The sequence below is a fragment of the Homo sapiens genome, chromosome 17 (genome assembly GCF_000001405.40).
Source record: "Homo sapiens chromosome 17, GRCh38.p14 Primary Assembly".
Lineage (NCBI taxonomy): Eukaryota > Metazoa > Chordata > Mammalia > Primates > Hominidae > Homo > Homo sapiens.
The window spans coordinates 74,987,113-75,011,267 of record NC_000017.11 but is presented as its reverse complement, the minus strand read 5'-3'; the positions used below and the strand labels follow the sequence as shown (position 1 = coordinate 75,011,267).

Below are 24,155 nucleotides of genomic sequence, written 5' to 3'. Positions count from 1 at the left end.
GTAATAAAGTCAGAACCTTTCCATGACATCATTGCTCTGAGGCTGGGCTCCAGCTCTGCACCTGACCCAAGGCAATAGGAAAAGGAAGCTGCAGGTTTCCATGGCCCCAAATAAACACAGCCTGCTTGGGCCATCTGGTGGCCTGGATTCTGGGAGAGGAGGTGGGTAGAGGAGAGAATGAGGCAAGCCGCCCTGGGGTGGAGAGAGGAGCAGCTGGCAAGCTCCTCTTACCTGCTGCTGCCGTGAACTATCCAGAATGGGGGCCCTGGGAGAAAGGCCAGAAAGGGGCCACCTGTTCTCCCAAAAAGATGGGCACTAAAGGCTGAGGCCAGTCTTCCCTTTCTCCTCCTTGGTTTTCTATAGGCCGAGATGGTGCTTCAGGGAGGGGACATTCATGGGAGAAGAGAGGAAAGAGGTCATTTCTGGCAGCTGAGGAGCTTGCAGACACAAGCCTTTCTATAGGGCCTATGAGTTGGGGTACTATTCCTATGTAGGGGGTCCTACATAGGACCTACATAGGACCCCTTTCTTCTTCTCTGTACCGCCCTGGGTCAGAAGACCTCCTTTTTTTTTTTTTTTTTGAGATTGACTCTCGCTCTGTTGCCGAGGCTGGAGTGCAATGGCACGATTTCAGCTCACTGCAACCTCTGCCTCCTGGGTTCAAGTAATTCTCCTGCTTCAGCCTCCCGAGTAGCTGGGACTACAGGCGTGCACCACCATGCCCGACTAATTTTTGTATTTTTAGTAGAGACGGGGTTTCACCATGCTGGCCCGGCTGGTCTCGAACTCCTGATCTCGTGATCCGCCTGGCTCACTCGGCCTCCCAAAGTGCTGGGATTACAGGCATGAGCCACCATGCCCCACCAGATGGCCTCTTAAAACTCATCATTGACCAGGTGTGGTGGCTCTCACCTGTAATCTCAGCACTCTGGGAGGCCAGGGTGGGTGGATCACCTGAGGTCAGGGGTTCAAGATCAGCCTGGCTAACATGGCAAAACCTCATCTCTACTAAAAAAATGCAAAAATTAGCTGGGCATGGTGGCATGCACCTGTAATCCCAGCTACTCGGGAGATTGAGGCTGGAGAATCGCTTGAACCCAGGAGGTGGAGGTTGCAGTGAGCTGAGATTGTGCCACTGCACTCCAGCCTGGGTGACAGAGCAGGACTCCGTCAAAAAACAAAACAAAACAAAACAAAACAAAACTCATCATTATGTGTAGATAGGGAATGTGCAATGAGGCATGGTGGATTGGTCAGGACTAAGTTTAAATATTTATTTTTTTATTAAAAAAATAGAAAAATGTGTCCATGTCCTAACTGCTGGTAACTGTGACTATGACTTCATTTTAAAATTGTATTATTATTATTTTTTGAGACAAGGTCTCGCTCTGTCACTCAGGCTGGAGTGCTGGTATGATCACGGCTCACTGCAACCTCGGCCTCCCCGGCTCAAGCTATCCTCCCACCTCAGCCTCCCAAGTAGCTGGGATTACTGGCATGTGCTGGATAATTTGTGTATTTTTGTAGAGACAAGGTTTCTTGTCTCTACCAGCCCAGGCTGGTCTTGAACTCCTGGGCTCAAGCAATCCACTTACCTTGGCCTCCCAAAGTGCTGGGATAATAAGCATGAGCCACTATGCCCAGCCGAGTTTGAATATTTCTATGTGACCTTGAATTACTAACCTGACCTCTAAGTTTTTGTATCCTCATCAGTAAAATGGAGATTTTATAGTCATCTCATAAAGTTCCTGAGGATAGTAAACACATATAAAACACTTAACACAGTGCTTGGCATGAAGTCAGCAGGCAACAAAAATTAGCTGCTGCTAAGGGATGCTATGTGCATGCAGGTTCCTTAAGGGACACTTTTCTTTCAGACACCTGATTACTGTTGTCTTTTTTCCTCTGTAGCCCTGGAGTGGGAAATCCAGTCTGACGAGCTGTATTCCAACCCTCTTTCCTTCTTCCCTGAGGGGATGGGCAGCACAGAGCTGCCCACCTCTCCCTGGAAAGTACTTCCTTCATTGCTACCCCTTATCTGCCTGGTCCCCTAAAACTGAGGCCACCCCCCAGCTCTCAGCTCAGGATCCCCAGGGAGGGCAGAGGCAGGTCTGTTTGGCTAGCTGCCCTCCCTAAGTGGGGTGGTGGGTTTGGCCCTGGGAGAGGAGAAGGGTGCCAGTTCAGGGGAGGAGAGAATGGGGCAGGGGCCGGGGGGCGGGGAGGAGCTCCCTGCAGCAGGGAGTATCTGTCCACAGAGCAAGGACAAAGTGGTGATCAGGAGGGAAGAAGGGAAAGAAAGGAGGGAAGAAGGGAAAGAAATGCATCCAGAGGGCGGTTTAGAAAGCTGAGGGAGGCCAGGCATGGTGGCTTACTCCTGTAATCCCGGCACTTTGGGAGGCCAATGTGGGAGGATCATTTGAGCCCAGGAGTTCAAGACCAGCCTGGACAATATAGCAAGACCTGGTCCCTACAAAAAATTAAAAAAAAAAAAATTAGCCAGCATAGTCCCAGCTACTGGAGAGGCTGAAGAGAGAGGATCACTTTAGCCCAGGAGCTGGAGGCCGAGTAAGCTACAGTTGTGCCACTGCACTCCAACCTGGGCAACAGAGCAAGACCCTGTCTAAAAAAAAAAAAAAAAAGGCTGAGGGAGAAAAGGGTGGCTGGATTCACGCCACGGCTTCCTTCGTCTCTCAGGTGTGACTGCTCCATGTGGTCACCACCACCTGCTCCCCATCCTGGTGACGACAGGTGACAACAGGATGGGAAAACCCAACAGCCACTTGCACGCTGCCCTTGTAAAAGCCCCATGCTGTTCAGTTGATGTACTAAGCACAGCAGTTTGGGGCCCAGCCTTGGGCTTGCCACACCACACTTTTTTTTTTTTTTTTTTGAGACTGAGTCTCACTCTGTCGCCAGGCTGGAGTGCAGTGGTGTGGTCTAGGCTCACTGTAACCTCAGCCTCCTGAGTTCAAGCAACTCTTGTACCTCAGCCTCCGGAGTAGCTGGGATTACAGGTACACACCATCATGCCTGGCTAATTTTTGTGTTTTTAGTAGAGATGGGGTTTTGCCATGTTGGCCAGGCTGGTCTCCAACTCCTGGGCTCAAGTGATCCTCCTGCCTCCGCCTCCCAAATTGCTGGGATTACAGGCATGAGCCACCATGCCCAGCCCCACACCACACTTTCCTCCCCTCCTGAGTTCAAGGGAAGTTGTTCCCCATCAGGACATTTGGGGAAGGAGTTTTGGGGAGAAGCCTGCATTTCCCCCCAGTTCCAGCTGGCCCCTGAGTCTACCTCCCTTAGAAGACTTTGGAAGCTTTTCCACAGACTCAGGTTGTGTGGGCTGGTGGAACTGGAGTCCACAGAGCTGCCTTTTTTTGTCTGGAGACGAGAGAGTGAAGCTAGCAAGAAACCCCTCAAAGATTCAGGAGCATTTTCCTCTCTGGTTTTGGAAGTCCCCCATCGGAAAGGTCCACCCAGGCTGCTGGTGCGAGAAGGGGTGGGTAGCGTTGGCAGTGTGAGGCGAAGGAAGATACCCTAGAGGTGCCCCCTTTGATCAGGATCCACAGTCCTGTTTCTAGGCTTCCAGTATCTGAGCTTGGACAGCAATTCTTTTTTGAGACGGAGTCTCACTCTGTCGCCCAGGCTGGAGTGCAGTGGCGCGATCTAAGCTCACTGCAAGCTCCGCCTCCCAGGTTCACACCATTCTCCTGCCTCAGCCTCCCGAGTAGCTGGGACTAAAGGCGGCCACCGCCATGCCTGGCTAATTTTTTCTTGGACAGCAATTCTTAAGTTCAGGATGGACATTACTAAATCTGGAGAGGGCTGAGTGGAGCATGGGAAGTTTGAAAAACCGCTATCATTTTGCTTTTTTTTTTTTTTTGACGGAGTCTTGCTCTGTCACCCAGGTTGGAGGGCAGTGGTGCGATCTCGGCTCACTGCAACCTCTTCTTCCCGGTTCAAGTGATCCTCCCACCTCAACCTCCTAAGTAGCTAGGATTTTTGTATTTTTAGTAGAGACAGGGTTTTACCATGTTGGCCAGGCTGGTCTCGAACTCTTGATGTCACATGATCTGCCTGCCTCAGCCCCCCAAAGTGCTGGGATTACAGGCATGAGCCACCTCGCCCGGCCTATCATTTTGCATTGAGGAAAACAGAAAACCCAACGGATTGACGGCACTTCCAGAACAAGAGGGAGGCTGGTGTAATCTTGGTGATGGGGACCCCTCCAGAAGATGAACCCCTCTATGTACCGTCCTCTGTATAACATGGGGAGGAGACAGATATCTGAGGAAGAATGGGAGTGGTGAGGTTTTTCATGTATATGGAAGAGAGATATGGGGTTTATCAGCTTGAAAAACACCAGGAGATGGCCCTCTTGTCATTCCTGTGACTGTCCTGTGTCATCAATGGGTGGCTCACCAAGGGCAGGTCAACTTCCCCATCCCTCATGGTCCTTCAGGGCATCAGTCTGGCCCTGGACTTCCTGCCGTGGCGTCTCATTGCACTTAGGAGGCCCGAGCTCCCCTGAACCTTCCGGGCTCTTAGGAGCCTGGCCTCCACCCTCTGTTCTGGCCACCCCCCACTGCCCCAGCTGCTCCCTGGGCCTCCACTTATCTTCCCGTTGGTTCCTCCTCAGCCTTCTGGTTTCAGCTTCATCATCACCTCTCCAGAGGTGCCCTGACCACCCTCGCTTAGCATTTCTCAATCTTTTTTTTCCATGATCGCTCCCCCTTCCTACCTCAAAGAGCCTATTTAGACATTTTCTCCGAATTGCTCCCCCAGGAATTTTAGTAACACTGTATATCTCTTCATGTGCTGTATTTATATATCTAGATATGATTTTTTGAGACAGGGTCTCGCTCTGTTGCCCAGGCTGGAGTGCAGTGGTATGATCATAGTTCACTTCAGCTTTGACCTCCCAGGCTCGTGATCCTCCCACCTCAGCCTCCTGAGTAGCTGGGACTACAAATGCACACCACCATGCTCTGCTAATTTTCAAAAAATGTTTTGTAGAAAGGGGGTCTTGCTATGTTGCCCAGGCTGGTCTCAAACTTCTGGGCTCTAGCAATCCACTTTGGCCTTCCAAAGGGCTGGGATTACAGGCATGAGCCACCGCGCCAGGCCGATTTTTTTTTTTTTTTTAACTTGGTTCACCCTGTTGGGCCCACGTGCTCTAGCTGAGGTAGCACTACCCTCTTGCCCCGATTTTTCCATCATGCCGTATCTTTTGTTTGTTTATTTTGGGTGGATCTCCCCACACCAGAATATAAACTCCAAGGGAAGAGGGGCCCTGCTGGCTTGTTCACCATGTATCCCTAGCTGGCCCTCAATAAATATAGAAACTTCTGCCAGAGCCTGCTATTTGGAGCTGTTCAGTCTCAGGGAAGTGGGACACAGGATGTTACCCTCTCCCATGGCTGGGCGTGACGCGAGGCAGGTGTGTGAGATGCACAGAGATGGGCCATTTTTGCTTTTAGAATACTGGTGCATTTTTTATTAAAGAAGAGAATAAAGCATTTGTAAATATATTTCTCTCACGTATACTTCAAAGGTGACGCTGGTCTGCCACTACAGAGCTGGGGAGCAGACAGGCTGGAGCTCTTCCCCCAACCCTTCCACACTCCTCTCCCCCAGATAACAGACACACACGGAGGGCAGGGAGCTGCCTAGCCTCAAAGGACAAAAGTTTCCCAGTTGCACGTACAGAAGGACTCAGTCGCCACCAGCTCCCATCACAGTGCCGCCCGGAAAGCAGGTGGTGTCTCCAGGAGGTCAGGGATGCTTGGTAAGAAAACCCCTTTACCCATTAGAAATAAATAAGGCATGAAGGTTCCCACTGGGATCCCGGTGCAGAGGCCAGGGCCCCCCCGCCTTCCACTGACTGTATGGCTCTTCTGGTTTCTAAGGTCTCAGGAAGGGCGGCAGAAGGAACCAGAAGCCCTGAAGGGCTGCTCAGGGCAAGCTGGGGACCTGGGTGTCTCTTAGCTGAACTTGACTTTCTGACATCTTGAAGCAAAACTCCTGACGCAGCTGGGTCCTCAAAAGCCCCCCACAAAGGTGGGAGGTGAAGAGCAGGCATTTTATGGGAGGGAGGGAGGGAGCATGTTCCTCAGCCCCATCCCAATACAACACGATGCAGCATGGGGCGAAAACCCCAGTCCCCAGTGAAGGGGAGGCAGGGGTGGACATTGGGACCACCGGCTGGTGGTGCATGTCCAGAACATTCTGGGGGCTGCAGACATGACCTGTGCCAGGGTTGGCCTGTGGGGAGCGTGGAGTGACTGAGACATCATGGTCCCTGAGATGGGGGCAAGCACAGAGACGGGAGTCAGAGGCCAAGCTTGGTTAGTTGGTGGCGGTGTGAAGGGATGGGGGCTCCCCACTGCCCCGGCCCCTGGAAAGCTTAAGGCCCAGCAGGCATTTCTGGGGTTGGAAGCCAAGGAGACAAGCTCTGAGCGAAACTGCACCACTCTGCTGAGGGGCTCCTTCTCCTCCTCCTCTGACTGGCTACAGATCTGCGGTGGGCCAAGAGTATCCAGGGAGAAACCTGTCCCTGGCAGGGCTGGAGCAGGGACACTCCAGGCCCAGCTGAGGCTTCCTGCTCTGCATGGCAGGGGACATCTCTGACCTGGTCAGGACCCTGGAGGTGGGACAGCTGGTGCTAAGGGAATGTCAGCGCATCAGGGTTGGGGAGAAGCAGTGGGTGGTCCAGGAAACCCCTGAAACAGCTGGCCCTGGGGTCCCCTTTCAAGTGTTTCCAGTTGTGGCAAGGGGTCAAGGAGACCTTGCATTGCAAATCTCTTAGAAAAAACAAACTTAACCAAAAAAAAAAAAAAAGCCAACTGATCCAGAATGGCTTTCAGAAGCCTGGTCACCAGTCTGAGGGTGAGGCGCAGGGTCAGGAAGCCAGGGGCTGGGGGAGCTGGGGGATCCCTGGGGTAGTGGGGACATTTGGCTTTGAACTCAGAGCTGCGCCTTTGGGCTGGCGCGAGGTGGCCAAGGGCTCCTGGGAGGCAGGACAGGTGGGCTGCCTCCGCTCAGCAGGGAACATGCTGCGTGCTTCCGGATCAGGAGGCCGCGTGCTGTGGTGGCAGGCCGCTAAAGGGCGCTCGCTCTCTGGAAGCTGCACCGCCCAGGCCTGAGGGACCCCACGGCTTCCACCCTGGGGGAGGCTGCAGGCCGGAGAAGGGTCACTTGCTGCTGTGCGTCTTGACTTTGGTGGCGTTGATGTCAGCCTTGGTCTTCTGGATCCTGGAGAAGATCTCTTTGAAGAGCGCCTTGTACTCGGGCTGGCTCTGTTCCAGCCGCTTGTCCACGGCCTCCACGTGCTGGCTCAGGCTCTTCTCTCCTGCCTTGACCTCACCCTGGCCCTCCTCACCCCCGCGCAGGTCCCTCCACGAGCTGTCCCGGGAGATGGGGCGCGAGGTCTGCACGCCGGCGTGCCGCACTCCGGCCCCGTGCTGCCGGCACTTGCTCAGCAGCTCCTCGTACTTCTCCAGCAGCGCGTGGTACTGCTCGTCCACCTCCCGCAGGATGGACATGCCCCGCTTGCGCACGCTGTTGGCGTGCAGTGTGAGGTTGCCCGCGTGCCGGCTGGCTGGGTCTTTGGCCACGATGGCGTTGAGCGCAGTGTCGCTGCAGCTCTTGCGCACCACGTGGCCTGGAGAGGCTGCCGGTGAGGAGACCCCGTCCTGGGCGCCCAAGTCGTCCCCGCGGCCGGGCTGGGGATCGTCGGCCTCAGGGGCCTGCGTGAGGGGTGCGAGCAGGGCCTCGGCCAGGTGGTCGTCCGGACCCAGTAGGTAGGTCTTGGCCTGCTTCATCTGCTGCAGCTCCAGCAGCTCGGCCTCCAGCTCCTGCACACGCAGGCGACAGGCCTCCATCTCGCACAGCTGGCGCTCCAGCTCCGAGTACTCCTGCAGCACCGCGGTGTACTCGCGCTCCGCCCGCTCCTTGCGCTGCCGCTCCTGGCTCACCTGGGAGCGCAGCGCCCCCACCAGGGTCTGCAGCCGCTCGTTCTCCTGCTCCAGGGGCCGCGGGCCCAGCTCCAGGGAGGAACTGTGTAGGCGGAAAGCATCCTTGCACCTGGCGGGTAGTGAGAGTCGCAGCGGGGTGGGGGCGGAGGAGAGGGCAGTGGTCACGGGCACGGCCAAGGCCGAGCAGCCCAGCCAGGGCGCTTACATCTCTCTTGTTCTCTGGGCTGAAATTGTTTGCCCCTCTCCGTTGGCTCTCCACCCTCCTCCACCCTTCTCCCCCTGCTCTCTGCCCCCGGAGGCTGACCACTACGGACCGCCTCTGTCAGGTTGCCTGGTTCTCTCCTGAGCTTGGCCCATGAGAGGCACTGGCTAGAGGTCCGAGGGGGGAGCAGAGGCCGTGGGGTGTGTCTTCTTTGGGCTCTCCATGGTTAATGGTGACCAGGCAGCCTTCTCCATACCTTCCAGGTGCCGGTAACCTCCCTTCCCCCTTGCGCTTTGAGGCCTAGGGCTGGTGGCAGCTCCTCTCTGCTGCAACCCTGGGGCACTATAGTGTCCCTGTGGTTTCCCTACCCCCTGCCCACACCTCTTCTTCATTTAACTTCTCCATTACTCTGTGTAAGAGACTGTTTCCTGCCAGGACCCTTATTGAAACACCCACTACATATGACACATGTATTTTTCCATTATTAAGTGGTTGTCTAGTGTTAGATTTAATGGGAACTGAAAAGCACAGTGGGTTACCCCTCCTGGGTTAGCATGCTGGCTGAGCCTCTTACTAAACAGGTGACCTTGGATAAGACACACAACCTCTGGGCTTCAGTTTTATCATCTGGAGAGTAGGCATAATAAAACACCCCCAACAGTGTTGCAATAAGAATTATATCAGCATAGTGGCAGCACACAGCCAGGGCTCAGTAAACGCCAGCTGCTGTGACTGTCATTAGCAACAGGACCAGTCTCTCTGATGGCCTGGATGATGCACCAACTGCACCCTGCTGCCTGCTGCCTCTCCTTCCTCCCATGGCTGGCAATCCCAGAGACACCAAGCAGTGCTCTCACCTACCGGGGGCTGGTGCACAGCTCCTTGAGGCAGGGGAAGGTGTGGATGGTACGCCTGCGTTCCCGCTTCTCCCGGAGCACTCGCAGCTGTTCCAGGCCTCTCAGTTGCTCCACCTGGGCCTGCAGCTCCTCCACCTGAGCCTGGAGGCGCTCAATGGTCTCCGTCAGCCTGGGGGCGGGGTGGTGGACACACAGGGACTTTAAGGGGATGGGGCCAGTTTGCCTCACGGCAGCCCTGGCTCCCTGAAGATGGAGGGACGTTGGGTAGGAGGCAGACAGGTACCCTTGAGCCGCTGTCTGGTCCTGAGGTAGGATGGGGAATTCTATGCATGCCCAAGGACCCGCCCTTCTTTTGTACCTCTCAGGCGAGCTGATCGCTTCTCCTCTGTGCCACCTCAGTTCCTTGTCACTCCTCTATCACTTATTGTCCTGCACTGCCATAAAATATTTACATGCCTGCCTTCTCTTCCAGGCTGTGAGGTATTAGAGGGCAGGACAATGTCTTTGTTTCCCCATCGTTGCATCCCCAGTGTCTAAAGAAGAGCCTGGTGCATAGTTGGTGCTTAAAGCAAGGTTGCGGCCTGAATGTTAAACCACACAAAATCGACAAGGACAAGCTCACTCCCATCCCCGGTTCCTAGGGAGACGTGCACAAGTCACACCCATCAGTCCATGGGCCCCTGTGTACACTCAGCCCTGGGGCTCTCCCTCGCCCGCCCCCCAGCCCTCAGCCGGGCCCTCACCCATGGATCTTCTGCTGGGCAGCCTTACTCTCCAGCACCAGCCTGTGGTTGGTCAGCTCCAGGTCCCGGGCTGTCAGGTCCAGCTGCTCATAGACTTTGGCGTGCTGCTCGTTCACGTGCCGCAGCGTGTCCAGCTGCTTGGTTAGGTACTGGGGGTGGAAGGACATTGAGTAACTTTTTAGAATTGGGCAGGGGCAAATGTCTCTGCCTAGACCCTCCTACTTCTTTTTTTGTCTTTTTTCTTTTCTTTTCTTTTGATACAGAGTCTCACTGTGTTGCCCAGGCTGAAGTGCAGTGGCATGATTTCGGCTTACTGCAACCTCTGCCTCCTGGGTTCAAGTGATTTTCATGCTTCAGCCTCCTGAGTAGCTGGAACTATAGGTGCCTGCCACCATGCCTGGCTAATTTTGGTATTTTTAGTAGAGACAGGGTTTCACTATATTGGCCAGGTTGGTCTTGAACTCCTGACCTCAAGTGATCTGCCTACCTCTGCCTCCCAAAGGGCTGGGATTATAGGCATGCACCACCACGCCAGCCTCTTTTTTTTTTAAATTAATTAATTTATTTTTTTTGAGACGGAGTCTTGCTCTCTCGCCCAGGCTGGAGTGCAGTGGCGCGACATCGGCTCACTGCAAGCTCCACCTCTTGGGTTCACGCCAACCATTCTCCTGCCTCAGCCTCCTGAGTAGCTGGGACTACTGGTGCCCACCACCATGCCTGGCTAATTTTTTGCATTTTTAGTAGAGATGGGGTTTCACCGTGTTAGCCAGGATGGTCTCGATCTCCTGACCTCGTGATCTGCCCGCCTTGGCCTCTCAAAGTGCTAGGATTACAGGTGTGAGCCACTGTGCCCGGCCTTTTTTTTTTTTTTTAACTTCTAAAATCTTTTTTATGCCCGGCGTGATGGCTCACACCTGTAATCTCAGCACTTTGGGAGGCTGAGGCGGGCAGATCACGAGGTCAGGAGATGGAGACCATCCTGGCTAACACAGTGAAACCTCGTCTCTACTAAAAATACAAAAAAAATTAACCGGGTGCGGTGGTGGGCGCCTGTAGTCCCAGCTACTCAGGAGGCTGAGGCAGGAGAATGGCGTGAACCCGGGAGGCAGAGCTGCAGTGAGCCCAGATCGCGCCACTGCACTCCAGCCTGGGTGACAGAGTGAGACTCCATTTCAAAAAAGAAATAAATCTTATTTATTTTATTTATTTATTTTTAAGACAGGGTCTCGCTCTGTTGCCTAGGCTGGAGTGCAGTGGCACAATCACGGCTCACTGCAGCCTCAACCTCCAGGCTCAAGCAATCCTCTCACTTCATCCTCTTGAGTAGCTGGGACCACAGGCTTATGCCACCATAGCCAGCTAATTTTTGTATTTTTTATAGAGACAAGGTTTCGCCATGTTGCCTGGGCTCAAGTATTTCACCCACCTTGGCCTCCCAAAGTGCTGGGATTACAAGCATGAGCCAGCAGCCCCTTCTCCCCTTCTAAGGACAAGTTTGCTTTGATGTATTTGTCTTCAGCTGAGTGGGGCTTAAAAATGGTGGTTCAGGCTGGGCCTGGTGGCTCATGCCTGTAATCCTAGCACTTTAGGACGCTGAGGTGGGAGGATCACTTGAGCTCAGGAGTTAGAGACCAGCCTGGGCAACATGGTGAGACTTGGTGTCTATTTAAAAAAAAAAAAAATCTAGTTGTGCAATAGGGCTGCCTGAGATAGCTGTGCTATCCTTGTACAGGATAGCACAGTTGTGAACTGTACCAGGCTATTGGGCTAAGGCTGTGTCCGATAAGCTGGCACCTTATTCTAAGTTGCATAAAGGCACACACAGGCCAAGGGGCCCTCGAGGGGTGTGGGCAAGCACATGCAGGGCCCTCACCTCGATCTCCTGCACCTGTTCCTCATTGGTGGAGTACATCTGCTGCAGGGACCCCTCCAGCTCCTTGTTCCTCTCCAGCAGAGTCTTCCCCAGCTCCGCAGCTAGGTGCAAGTCTAGGATAGGAGAAACACGAGCATGAGAACAAAGGCAGAGGACGCCCATTCATGTTCCGAGCATCTACTCTAGGTGACCCCAATGTAACCAAGACACTGGGAGCCTCCAGGCCTGGGAGGAGAGGTAAGCCAGGAGCTAAGCCTTTGCACTGTTATTTCTGCCTGGAATGTTCTTTTTGTGTGTGTCTGTGTGTGTGTGTGTGTGTGTGTGTGTGCAAGATGTAATAAAAAACAAACAAAAATAGGAATGGTTGCTTTCAACATTTTCCAGGTTGTGAAAGTTTTGCCACGATTCTCAGGGGTGTGGTTCTAAGCTGCATCAGTGGAACAAATACAAAATGCTGTCCTCCTCCTAGGCTGGAAGGCAGTGCACCTTCTCCTCTTAACAGCCAGACTAGCGGGTGAGGAGTCAGTGCTGTGCCCAGGCCAAGCTGGAGTGTCCGCATGGCTTCTTCTCTGACCAGTGGGGATTCCATCTACCTTGAGGCATGCTGGCTGGGCCCTGTTTCCACACCAGCGCATGGTGAGACAGCGTAGCTTATCAACAGGCTGCTGGGCCTTAATACTGACAGTGAGTGTGGCGGATCACAGCCAGGAAGGGACTAACACAGATGCCCTCCCAGCCCCACTGCTGGCCTAATTTTAGAATACCACGGAAAAAAGCTTTGATGAAGACAACAGGAAGTCAACACAGCAGAGAGTGGTGTGGACAACCCAGAAGCCAGCCTCACGCACGGAATATTCTTTCCTGATACTTCCAGGACTTGTTCCCTCTTCTCCTTCAAGTCTGTGCCTGTCAACTTCTCTAGATCTTTCCCCAATCACTTGATTCAAAGTCACACTGTTCCCTGCCCTGCAGTCTCTCCCCCGCTTCATCTTTCTCCTTAGCACTTAGCACCATCTAATTTCCCAAGCAAGTTACTCCTTTATCTTTTTCAGCTCCCCCAACTAACTGTGAGCTCATGGGGCAGTTTTTTTTTTCTTTTAAGGGATGGGACCCAGGCTGGGGTGCAGTGAGTATTCACAGGTGTGATCATATGTGCTGCAGCCTTGAACTCCTGGGCTCAACGATCTTCCTCCCTCAGCCTCCCAGGGCAACATAGTGAGACCTCATCTCTATTAAAAAAAAAAGAAAGGTGGTGCAATACGGCTGCCTGGGATAGGATCCCTTGAGCCCAGGAACTCAAGGCTACAGTGTATATGATCATGCCTGTGAATAGGCGTGGGACTATAATATCGGTTGCTGGGACTACAGGAATAGTACAATGTTTTTTTTTTGAGACGGAGTTTTGCTCTTTTTGCTCAGGCTGGAGTGCAGTGGCGCGATCTTGGCTCACTGCAACCTCCGCCTCCCAGGTTCACGCTAACCATTCTCCTGCCTCAGCCTCCCAGGTAGCTGAGACTACAGGCGCCCGCCACCATGCCTGGCTAATTTTTTTTTATTTTTAGTAGAGACGGGGTTTCACCGTGTTAGCCAGGATGGTCTCAATCTCCTGACCTCGTGATCCACCCGCCTCGGCCTCCCAAAGTGCTGGGATTACAGGCGTGAGCCACCGTGCCCGGTACTTTTTTTTTTTTTTTTTTAACTTCTAAAATCTTTTTTATGCCGGGATTACAGGCACCCACTACCACGCCCGGCTAATTTTTTGTATTTTTAGTAGAGAGGGGGTCTCACCATGTCGGCCAGGCTGGTCTTGAACTCCTGATCTCAGGCCTCCCAAAATGCTGGGATTACAGGCATAAGCCACCACACCTGGGCTAAAATTCTTAAATTTTTTTTGTAGAGACAGGGTCTTGTTATATTGCCCAGGCTAGTATTGAACTCCTGGCCTCAAGCGACCCTCCTACCTTGGCCTCAAAATGCTGGTATTACAGGCGTGAGCCACCGCACCTGGCAGGGCAGGGATTTTTATGTTTTGCTCATGAATATCCCCAGGACCCAGGACAGTATCTAGGACAGAATCAGTGCATAATTTGTCTTTTTGGAAGATTAAGTGAGTGATAAGAGCATGGACGGACATAGGGGCAAGGTGCCGTGGGGTGATGGGCAAGGGAGAGCTTCACTCTCCCCGGGAGGCTCAGGCAAATGGACAGCTTTCGAGTTGGACTTTGAAGGGTGGATAGGAGGCTGGGTGCGGTGGCTCACGCCGTAATCCCAGCACTTTGGGAGGCCAAAGTGGGAAGATCACTTGAGGTCAGGAGTTTGAGACCAGCCAGGCCAACATGGTGAAATCCTATCTCCACTAAAAATATAAAAATTAGCTGGGTGTGGTGGCGCAAGCCTGTAATCCCAGCTACTTGGGAGGCTGAGGCAGAAGAATCGCTTGAACCTGGGAGGCAGAGGTTGCAGTGAGCCGAGATCGTGCCACTGCACTCCAGCCTGAGTAACAGAGCGAGACTCAGTCTCAAAAAAAAAAAAGAAAGAAAGAAAGAAAGAAAGAAAGAAAGAAAGAAAGAAAGAAAGAAAGAAAAGGGTGAATAGGAGCTTGCTGAGAGGCAGAGAGAGCAGAAGGGCTTGCTGAATATTAAAACTGGAAGATGATTCAGAACTTCTTGGCCCAACTTCTTGATTTTATGGATAATGAGCAGGACAGCAGAGTGACTTGCCCATGGTCACCCAGCTGGTTTATGTCCACGCTAGGGGGAGAATTCAGGTATCGGGCTCCTGGTTGGGTACCATTTGACCCTAGTGACATGTGCCCAGCTCTCAAACCTTCTTTCCCTGAGGAGCAGAAACATCCTCTTCCCCCAACAGCCCTGGTGCTTGTACCCTGTAGGATTGGAACCTTCCCTCCCTGACCCCAGTCCAAGGGAAATGAGGACCCATCAGATAGGCTAGGAGGGAATCTGTCTGTTTTTAGGGGGATGTTGTGGGGGATGGGCGGGTAGAGAGAAGGAGTTAGAAGGAAACGGCAGGTACTAAAATCCCTAAAAATTCTCTTGGTGGGTCTGAGTTGTGTGATGATAGCTAGACATTTGGAGTGGATACAATCCTCCCAACAACACACATATGTATATTAAATATATTTATTATTTTTTGTTTCTTTTTTTTTTTTTTTTGAGACGGAGTCTCGCTTTGTCTCCCAGGCTGGAGAGCAGTGGGGCAATCTCGGCTCACTGCAACCTCCGCCTCCCGGGTTCAAGCTATTTTCCTGCCTCAGCCTCCCAAGTAGCTGGAATTGCAGTCGCCTACAACCACATCCAGCTAATTTTTGTATTTTTAATAGAGATGGGGTTTCACCATGTTGGTCAGGCTGGTCTCAAACTCCTGACCTCAAACAATCCACCCACCTCGGCCTCCCAAAGTGCTGGAATTACAGGTGTGAGTCACTGTGCCTGGCCTGTTTTTTGTTTCTAAAACGAGGCAGGGTGATAAAAATATTCTAAAATTGATTGTGGTGATGGTTGCATAACTTTGTGAATATAATAAAAACTGTTGAGTTGCACACTTTAAATGAGTGAATTGTATTGTGTGTTAATTAAATCTCAATAAATCTGTCAAAAAAAAAAAAGATTTAGGCAGCTTAATCCAGAGACGGAGAAGGGTGGGAGAGAGCGGGTCCTCAAAGAGGTCGTTAGAGCAGGCTGAGGCTGAGTTTCACAAGGCTGTTTTCTTTTTAAAATAGCTTTAATGTTTTTCATAAGGCATGATTGGTGTAAAAAAATCAAACAGTACAGAAAGGTTAAAAACTGGTGATTTAGGCCGGGTGCAGTGGCTCATGCCTATAATCCCAGCACTTTGAGAGGCCGAGGAGGGTGGATCACTTGAAGTCAGGAGTTCGAGACCAGCCTGGCCAACATGGTAAAACCCTGTCTCTACTAAAAACAAAAATTAGCCAGGCGTGGTGGCATGTGCCTGTGGTCCCAGCTACTTGGGAAGTTGAGGCAGGAGGATCACTTGAACCTGGGAAACAGGTTGCAGTGAGCCGAGATTGTGCCACTGCACTCCAGCCTGGGTGACAGAGAGAGACCCTGTCTCAAAAAAACAAAACAAACAAACAAACAACAACAACAAACTGGTGATTTAAAAATTAGAGGCCAGGCCGGGTATGGTGGCTCACGCCTGTAATCCCAGCACTTTGGGAGGCCGAGGTGGGAGGATTGCTTTAGTAAAGGAGTTCAAGACCAGCCTGGGCAATATAATGAGACCCTGTCTTTACAAAAAATAAGAACATTAGTGGGGTGTGGTGGCATACACCTGTAGTCCCAGCTACTTGGTGAGCTGTGATTGTGCCACTGGACTCCAGCTTGGGTGACAGAGTGAGACATTGTCAAAAAGAAAAAAAAAAAAAAGAAAGTGTAGACTGGGCACAGTGGCTCATGCTTGTAATCCCAGTGCTTTGGAAGGCTGAGGTGAGAGGATAGCTTGAGGCCAAAAGTTAGAGACTAGCCTGGGAAACACAGTGAGACCCCATCTCTTTTTTTTTTTTTTTTGAGACTGAGTCTCACTCTGTCGCCAGGCTGGAGTGCAGTGATGAGATCTTGGCTCACTCTGCAACCTCTGCCTCCCAAGTTCAAGCAATTCTCCTGTCTCACCCTCCCGAGTAGCTGGGACTACAGGCGCGTGCTACCACGCCCAGCTAATTTTTGTATTTTTAGTAGAGACGGGGTTTCACCATGTTGGCCAGGATGGTCTCGATCTCTTGACCTCGTGATCCGCCCACTTCAGCCTCCCAAGGTGTTGGGATCGCGCCCTACCCGAGACCCCATCTCTACAAAAAAATTGTAAAATTAGCCGGGCATGGTGGTGCATGTCTGTGGTCGCAGCTACTAGAGAAGTTGATGTGGGAGGACTGCTTGAGTCCAGGAGTTTCAGATTAGAGTCATCTATGATTGCAACACTGCATTCCAGTGAGACAAAGCAAGACCCTATCTCTGAAAAAAAAAGAATGAAACTAATTAACTTTGTTGTACAAAACGTTTTGTGCAAATCACCGCCCAATTCCTTAGGACACAGAATTCCTTGAACAAAGGGTAAGCCTAGGTACCTGGAACAAAAGGTAGGCCTAGATACAGAATTCCTAGAAATACAATTCCTGGGACAAAAGGTAGGCCTTCTTGAGGCATTCTGTCAAAAGACTGTCCAGGAAAGCACTGGTCTGTTTCATTTTATGAGGCTGCTTCTTAAAACAGCTCTCAATCTAGGCTGACGATGTAAATCAGATCAAGATGCATAAAGGCAACTCTACTGGGGCCAATATGATGTGGTTCAGGGATCCAGTTCTCTACTGCTTTCCCTTTTTAGACATAGTGATAGTTCTAGGGTCTCTGGAGGACGGATAGGCTCTATACTCCCGGACAGAAAGTTTCCTAGATACGGTTGTTTCGGCTGAGCCCTTGCTATGCATTGGACAGAGGCCTGAGAAATAATAGCTGGGGAGCCCAAGGGATGTCTTTGAAAAGAAACCTAGACCTGGGGTGGAAGTTTTCCTTTGGGATGAGCCCAGGCAAGCAGTGACTCTTGGTGGGCAGCTGAGGGCAGAGCCTTGGGCCTTCAGCCAAGCTGGGGGCAGAACTGACATTGCCTTGTGAGAGGCAGAGGGGCCAGACCAGCCACTGGGCCTGGACATAAAGGCTGAACTGCCCCACAGGAACAAATCCGGAGTCTGATCCTGTGCACAGAGGTGAGGTTTTGAAACAGCCAAAGTGGAGCCTCCAGGGCTGGGTTTTAGCCAAAGGAGGGCCCTGTGTCATCTGGAGAAGGAGTGCAAAGCTGCTATCCTAGAGCAAGGCTGCAGTAACTTAGCCTGAAAAAACAAAGGCAGCTTTCCCAAACATCTTCCTCAGCCATTGAAAACAACAACAACAACAAAGAAACCAAATCATGTAAATCATAGGTAAGAACTTTTAGCCTTGAGCAATTAACCTTCTGATGAGGATGCCAAGAAAAAACTAGTTACATAACATAAACCTAGTAAGGGAATGCGGATATATGCTGTATGAATTTATGACCTGTCAGTTGGGCAAAAGTCTGGAGGTATCTACAAATTGTAAAGTTTGATGTAAAGATCATTGCACTGGGCAACATAGTGAGACCCCTGTCTCTACAAAAAAATTAATTAGCTGGGCGTGCTGGTGCTTACCTGTAATCTCAGCTACTCAGAAGGCTGAGGCAGGAGAATTGCCTGAACCTGGGAGGCGGAGGTTGCAGTGAGCCAAGATTGTGCCACTGAACTCCAGCCTGGGCGATGGACCAAGACTCTGTCTTGAAAAAAAAAAAAGATTGAACTACAGCCCTGTACTATATTGTGCGCATGGCAGTAACTCAGGACTCAGGAGCCGGGCAAGATCACCTTCAGTTTGTGATGAGACAGCCATGCTATCTTCCTGTTTTCCATAGTGGGACTCAAATTTAGCTCATCCTGAACAGTATCCAGCAGTTCAGATATACATGAAAGAGATCAGAGGGCTACTCTCCTAAATGTTTTCCCCCTTGGAAACTGTTACATGGTCTGCAAAGAGGCCATTGCTACTGATTCTACCTCCTGCCGTGGGTGTCGGAGGACATGCTCCAAGTAAGTGGCCTTCATGGAGCCCCTGCAGCTTAACTAGAGTGCAAAGCCACTGCATCAGAGGTGAGTGAAGAAAGGCCAAGTGCAGTGCAACATCATACCCCCCACTTCCAGGTTAGTGTCTGGGCTGTGTGTAGATTTCTAATGCTGGCAGGCCAGGGTGGTATACCACCCTATAAACCAGAGACATCAAAGGTTGCCCTTTGAAGGCAGTGAATCGACTTGGGCCACCTAGTGATTCAGGGACAGGTAGAAAGAGAAACACAATAGAAGCTGTTTGGGGGCAGAGAGGCAGGTCTCAGATCATTTTAGGGAAACTGGATCACAGCGCAAGCTAAGCTGGTCAAAGCTGCCAGGAGGGATCAGGGAATAGTCTAGAAGTTGCAGAGCAGGGAACTGAGTGGAGCCAAGTACTAGGGAGAAGACACCAGCTACCAGAGGGTGGGTGATGGCTCCAGGCTCAGAGGAGAGAGGCCTGGGAACGGGAGAATGGGGGAGCTGGCTAGACAGGAAGTGAAAGTGGAGTAACAACCTGTCACAGCTGGATGAATGGGACACACCGGACCAAGCTGAGGGAAGGTACTAAGTCTGGGCTATGGGTTTGAACTGTGCAGGTCAAAAGAAAAAAAAAAAACAACATTAAGTCTGGGTTGGCACCTCCCCTGCCTGGACCCCAGGGTTTTCTGGGGTCTCCTTCAGGAGGTTTTAGTGGTTTTACATGAAGCAATGCCCCAGAGGCCTGAGGAGGAATGTCTGGGGAACCCAGGGCCTGTCTTTGAAAAGAAACTTAGAAATCCCACTGTCCCTCACTGGCTCGGGCACCACAGATTCCAGAGCAGAGACTCAGCAAAGGGAGAGGGGACATTTTCAGGGAGGACAAAGGTAGGGGTGTGGGCTCCAGGCTGTGGACACAAGTACCACCTGGCAGGGCTGTGAGGTCCTGTTCTCAGCTCCAGGGCACGACTGTCAGCCACTCTGGGTCCACAGAATCAGGGTCAGGTCACCTTTGGGGTAACCAGGGTGGAGGCAGGACCTCCCTCCCGTTGCCAGGTCAGAGCTCTCCTGAGGCTGAGGACTCAAGGTCAGCTAGGCAGGCGGGGACAGCACGGGTACCAAGGACTTCAAATCTGTGACTCAGCAGCTGCCTCTCAGCCTGGAAAGAGGAACGCACAGGGCCTGCCACGCCTGGTCCAAGGTAGGGGAGGAATGTGGGCCGAAAGAGGGAGTGCCAGTGCTTAATAATTAATGGCTTTTTCTTTCTTTTTTTCTTTTTTTGAGACAGAGTCTCACTCTGTCGCCCAGGCTGGAGTGCAGTGGCGCGATCTTGGCTCACTGCAAGCTCTGCCTCCCGGGTTCACACCATTCTCCTGCATCAGCCTCCCGAGTAGCTGGGACTACAGGCGCCCGCCACCGCGCCCGGCTAATTTTTTGTATTTTTAGTAGAGACGGGGTTTCACTGTGTTAGCCAGGATGGTTTCGATCTCCTGATGTTGTGATCCATCCGCCTCGGCCTCCCAAAGTGCTGGGATTACAGGCGTGAGCCACCGTGCCCGGCTCTTTCTAGGCTTTTTTTTTTTTTTTTTTTAAAGACAGAGTTTGCTCTTGTTGCCCAGGCTGGAGTGCAATGGCGCTAGCTATCTCAGCTCACTGCAACCTCTGCCTCCTGGGTTCAAGAGATTCTCCTGGCTCAGCCTCCTGAGTAGCTGGGATTACAGGCATGTGCCACCACGCCTGGCTAATTTTGTATTTTTAGTAGAGACGGGGTTTCTCCATGTTGGTCAGGCTAGTCTCGAACTCCCGACCTCAGGTGATCCGCCCGCCTTGGCCTCCCAAAGTGCTGGGATTACAGGTGTGAGCTGCTGTGCCCAGCTGGCTTTTTCTATTTTTATAAATGCTCGTGGCAGTGGGCAGAGGGAACACAGCGAGAATCTAGGACCTCACTTGTCCCACGGCTGCTTTCCACCAGGACAGAGCATCAAAGCCAAACAGGATCTCTACAGTCAAGCTTCTGGAAAGTGGAATCAGGGCCTGCCCTTTGGGCAGGAGGAAACAGACAGGAGGGAAGACCAGGTGGCTGGCTGAGAAAACCATTTCTGGGCCACTCACAGGCAACCAGGGAGCAGCTGGGTGGAAGAGAATTTGTGGGTTGGGAGATGCAACAGGCCTTTGACACCCAATATGGCTGGCCTTTGGCCCGTGCTCCGTCCCACCATCCAGCTCTCCATGCCTGGCCCCTGGGGCACAGGGCGGGCAGGGCCCACGGGAATGCCCCACAGAACCCGTGTCTGATGCTTCCTTCAGCCCCTCCCTCCCTATTTTCCAGCCTTCTCATGTCGCTCCATGACTTGGTACAAGCATCGCTTCCCCCTGGAATGCCTTCTTCCCTCCCTCTCCTGGGGAGCCTCCAGCTCAAAAGGGCCTTGGCATAAACCTTTCTAAGTCTCTGCTGTCCCCGTTGCTGGGCCTACAGCTGCAGAACCCCTCACTCTGACGCCATTGTGAGTTTGGTCCTATTTCTGTCTTCTCTAATGTAACGTGGAGTCCTCTGAGGGCAGAGATTATGTCCTCAGGCTCAGCACAGTACCTGGCCCACAGTAAGCAGACATCCAGCTTTTGGCAGGAAGCTCCAGTTTATTCTGTCTCATTTCTGCTTTCCCTCCTGGTTCCTGGCCTTTGGCTACCATTGGAGCTGCCAGGCCAGGCCAACAGCTGCAGACCAGCAGGGCCAGAGAAGCAGAGGCCTGCCGGGCCCATCCCTCCCGGCAGCCCAGAGCACGGCCACCCAGCGCAGCTGGAGTCTCAGATCCTTCTCTCTCTCAAGAAGCTGCACATCTCTGCGCATCTCCCACCTCTATGCCCTGGCTCCTTTCCCATTTCTGGGCCAGGAACAGTGCCAAAGCCTTCATTAGGGGTGCAGGAATTAAGTGAGACAGCAACAATATTGGCATCGGCCTCCCTGAAAACCATCTTCTCAAGAACTCAGTTTCTGATCTTTCTTTCTAAGCCTGGCTCTTCCAGGAAGCCCTCCCCACTGCCCATAATACTGTGCCACCAGCCGGGCGTGGTGGCTCACGCCTGTAATCCCAGCACTTCGGGAGGCCAAGGCGGGTGGATCATCTGAGGTCAGGAGTTTGAGAGCAGCCTGGCCAACATGGTGAAACCCTGTCTCTACTAAAAATACAAAAATTAGCCAGGTGTGGTCCCAGCTACTCAGGAGGCTGAGGCAGGAGAATCACTTGAACCCGGGAGATGGAGGTTGCAGTGAGCTGAGATCGCACCATTACACTCCAACCTGGGTGACAGAGGGAGACTCTGTCTGAAAATAAATAAATAAATAAATAAAAAGAAAAAAGAAAAAAATACTGTGCCACCTACACTTAGTTACAAGCCTGCCTCCTTCACCTGCCAGGGTATACCTTCAGGGTCAGGGCTGTGACTATTCCTAGCTCCCAGGATGGTGTCTGGTACTTAAGGGGAGCCTAATAGGTGTTCATGGAAAAATTTACTGCCCAGGATGGGAGAGGGGGTTGTCACAATGTGTGGATGTGTGTGTGTGTGTGTGTGTGTGTGTGTGTGTGTGTTTGAGAGGAGCTGTATCTCATTTCAGCCAAGGAGGCTGAGGCCAGAGTCCAGGGCACAGACCATGGCAGGGCCTAGTCCAGCATCCCCAGTCCCACCCTGGTCCCCCTGAGGCTATGATTAACCCTTGTCCTCAGCACAAGGACAGAGCCTCATCTGCCAGCCAGTCTTGGCCATGTGGGGAAGTAGGTCAGGGGCTTCAGAATCCGGATAGCTGCTGCACATCAGGGCAAAGCCAGCCCTCTGGAGCCTTGTGGATGGAGACCAGGGTGTGGGCACACCACAGCAGGCCACAATGGCACAAACTGCAGCAGACTTATGTCCACACCCCCCAGCTTGCTGGAGGCCATGGGAAGGTCACTTCTCCCTGGACATGTTTCCTCGCCCCTTCCAGCTCTCACCATCCAAGAAGGAGGCATCTTAGGGGAGGAGAGGATAGAACTGACTCCACTCCAGCAGGCCTCCTCTTCCTTTCTGTCCCAACAGCCCCACCCCCCACTCCCAGTGATGTCATTTCGGCCACCTCATCACCAGCTTCTAACCCCCTTCCAGTCGCCCTTTCTGTCCTCAGATGGCAACTGGGGGCAGCGGAGATGTATCCCTCTTTATTCGGTCTCTCGCCTGGCACACTGGCCGGGATTCCCGAACCTGACCCCCTCCAAACCATGAGCCATTTGCAAGGGGACCGGGCAGGGGAGGGCTAAGCGACTCCTGACTCTCGAAGGCAGATGGGAGACTTGACTTTCTGCTTCTTCACCAGCAAAGACGCGGTACCACTTCTCCCTGAGTAGGAAGCGAGTTAGGGAAACTTTCTAGGAGTCTTAGAGCTCATAATTCCTGTCAGGGACGGGTGCTGCTGGATTTGGCGTGAGATAACTTCCCTCTACACACAAGCCACCCTCCCAGCAAAACATGACGAAGGAGCCGCCTCCCGGCCTCAGAAGACTCCTAGCTAGCGCTCAGGCCCCGTAACAATACCAGGGGCGGCCGAGCAGTTGCTGCCTCCAGGACGGGGTGGGCGAGCTGGATGACGGATGCCCGGTCGTCTGGGAAAATAGGAAGACCGCCCCCCGCCCCCCACTTTTGCAGGTCTCCGCCCGTCCGGTCCGCGTCTTCTCCGGCAGCGCCCCCTCTCTCCACGTCCCGGTTCTCCAGACGCGTCCCTCCTCCGAGTCGGGCGCGCCCGGTCCAGCCCAGCCCCTCCCGGGGTGATAGCGCCCAACAATGGAGAAGCGGACAGGGGTCACCGGGCGCTCCCCGCCTTCCTGTCCCGGTCGCCCCCGCGCTCACCCTGCTCCAGGTCCTGCTGGTCGTACCAGGACTCCTCTTCCTCCGCGGAGAAGTCCTCCATCCCGGCGGCTCTCCGCATGGCCCCGCGGGCGGCGGGCGGGTGCTGCGGCGGCGCAGCTCAGGGCCGGTGCGCGCGGCCCGGGACAATGCGGCTGAGGCGGGCCGGGCCTCCAGCGTCGGGAACTCGGGCTACAGAGCCCGCGCCGCGCCCCCTCGCCATCAACCGCTCGCCGGGAGCCCACGCGGGGCCTGGCGCTTTGCCAGGGTCCGGCCCGGCCGGGGTCCCGCAGAGCCGGGGGCACCGGGCTGCGGCGACACAAAGGGTGGAGTGGCAGGGACGGCGGGTGGGACAGTGGCAAGGAGGATCCGGGCCCGCAGGCGGGTCTGGGGCGCTAGGAGCGCGCGGGTGCCGTGGCGGGCGCCCCCTGCCCGGCTCGGGTCCGCGCTGCTCCTGGCCCGCCCGGCGACAACCGGAGCCGCCGCTGCATCTTGGCGGAGCCCGCCTGCAGCTTGCGGAGCTCGGCTCCGCGGGGTGGGGCCTGCCGCCGCCGACCAATCAGGAGATGTATGCAAAGCTGGAGGCGGGGCCGAGGGCGGGACCCTCCTGGTGTCTTGGTCTGGGAATTGCTTGATCAACCCTTTCGTCCTACTTCCCCCTACGACCTATTCAGTTTATGTCTCATGTCTAAAATTATGCTATTTTAGAAGTTGTCGTCTCTCCTAGATCTCCTGGAAGCAAGAATATTGTTTCTCTTTCACAGCTGGCTACTCACTTCCTAGAACAGGCTGCTCACCAGTCGGGCGCGATGCCTGACTCCTGTAATTCCAGCACCTTGGGAGGCCAAGGCGGGCAGATCGCCTGAGGTCAGGGGTTTCGAGACCAGCCTGGCCAACATGGCGAAACCCCGTCTCCATTAAAAATACAAAAATTAGCTGGGCATGGTGGCGCATGCCTACTCGGGAGGCTGAGGCAGGAGAATCGCTTGAACCCTGGAGGCAGAGGTTGCAGT

General features: G+C 53.3%; 1 protein-coding gene across 2 annotated transcripts, besides 5 other annotated features; it reads right to left on the bottom strand.

Moving 5' to 3' along the window:
• Positions 1 to 5,467: 5,467 nt before the first annotated feature.
• CDR2L (cerebellar degeneration related protein 2 like) lies at positions 5,468 to 23,636 on the bottom strand. Of its 2 annotated transcripts, none has more exons than NM_014603.3 (5): positions 23,146 to 23,636; positions 11,652 to 11,764; positions 9,779 to 9,927; positions 9,040 to 9,204; positions 5,468 to 8,085 (listed from the first exon to the last, which is right to left on the bottom strand). In NM_014603.3, the coding sequence occupies exons 1-5, from the start codon at positions 23,222 to 23,224 to the stop codon at positions 7,194 to 7,196; spliced, it is 1,398 nt and encodes a 465-aa protein (NP_055418.2). In that variant the 5' UTR covers positions 23,225 to 23,636; the 3' UTR covers positions 5,468 to 7,193. The 2 variants fall into 2 exon arrangements, with proteins under 2 accessions (NP_055418.2, XP_006721915.1); XM_006721852.3 differs by having other exon boundaries at positions 5,468 to 8,058.
• Positions 16,795 to 17,294: an enhancer, noted in NCBI's record as "H3K4me1 hESC enhancer chr17:72990069-72990568 (GRCh37/hg19 assembly coordinates)". NCBI's record gives its function as "activates a minimal SCP1, AML or CMV promoter by ChIP-STARR-seq in primed H9 embryonic stem cells {active_cell/tissue: H9 hESC(primed)}" and the evidence as "EXISTENCE:reporter gene assay evidence [ECO:0000049][PMID:30033119]".
• Positions 17,295 to 17,796: an enhancer, noted in NCBI's record as "H3K4me1 hESC enhancer chr17:72989567-72990068 (GRCh37/hg19 assembly coordinates)". NCBI's record gives its function as "activates a minimal SCP1, AML or CMV promoter by ChIP-STARR-seq in primed H9 embryonic stem cells {active_cell/tissue: H9 hESC(primed)}" and the evidence as "EXISTENCE:reporter gene assay evidence [ECO:0000049][PMID:30033119]".
• Positions 23,297 to 23,798: an enhancer, noted in NCBI's record as "H3K27ac hESC enhancer chr17:72983565-72984066 (GRCh37/hg19 assembly coordinates)". NCBI's record gives its function as "activates a minimal SCP1, AML or CMV promoter by ChIP-STARR-seq in naive H9 embryonic stem cells {active_cell/tissue: H9 hESC(naive)}" and the evidence as "EXISTENCE:reporter gene assay evidence [ECO:0000049][PMID:30033119]".
• Positions 23,541 to 23,630: a silencer, noted in NCBI's record as "silent region_8950". NCBI's record gives its function as "represses an Ori minimal core promoter by ATAC-STARR-seq in GM12878 lymphoblastoid cells {active_cell/tissue: GM12878}" and the evidence as "EXISTENCE:reporter gene assay evidence [ECO:0000049][PMID:35858748]".
• Positions 23,651 to 23,730: a silencer, noted in NCBI's record as "silent region_8949". NCBI's record gives its function as "represses an Ori minimal core promoter by ATAC-STARR-seq in GM12878 lymphoblastoid cells {active_cell/tissue: GM12878}" and the evidence as "EXISTENCE:reporter gene assay evidence [ECO:0000049][PMID:35858748]".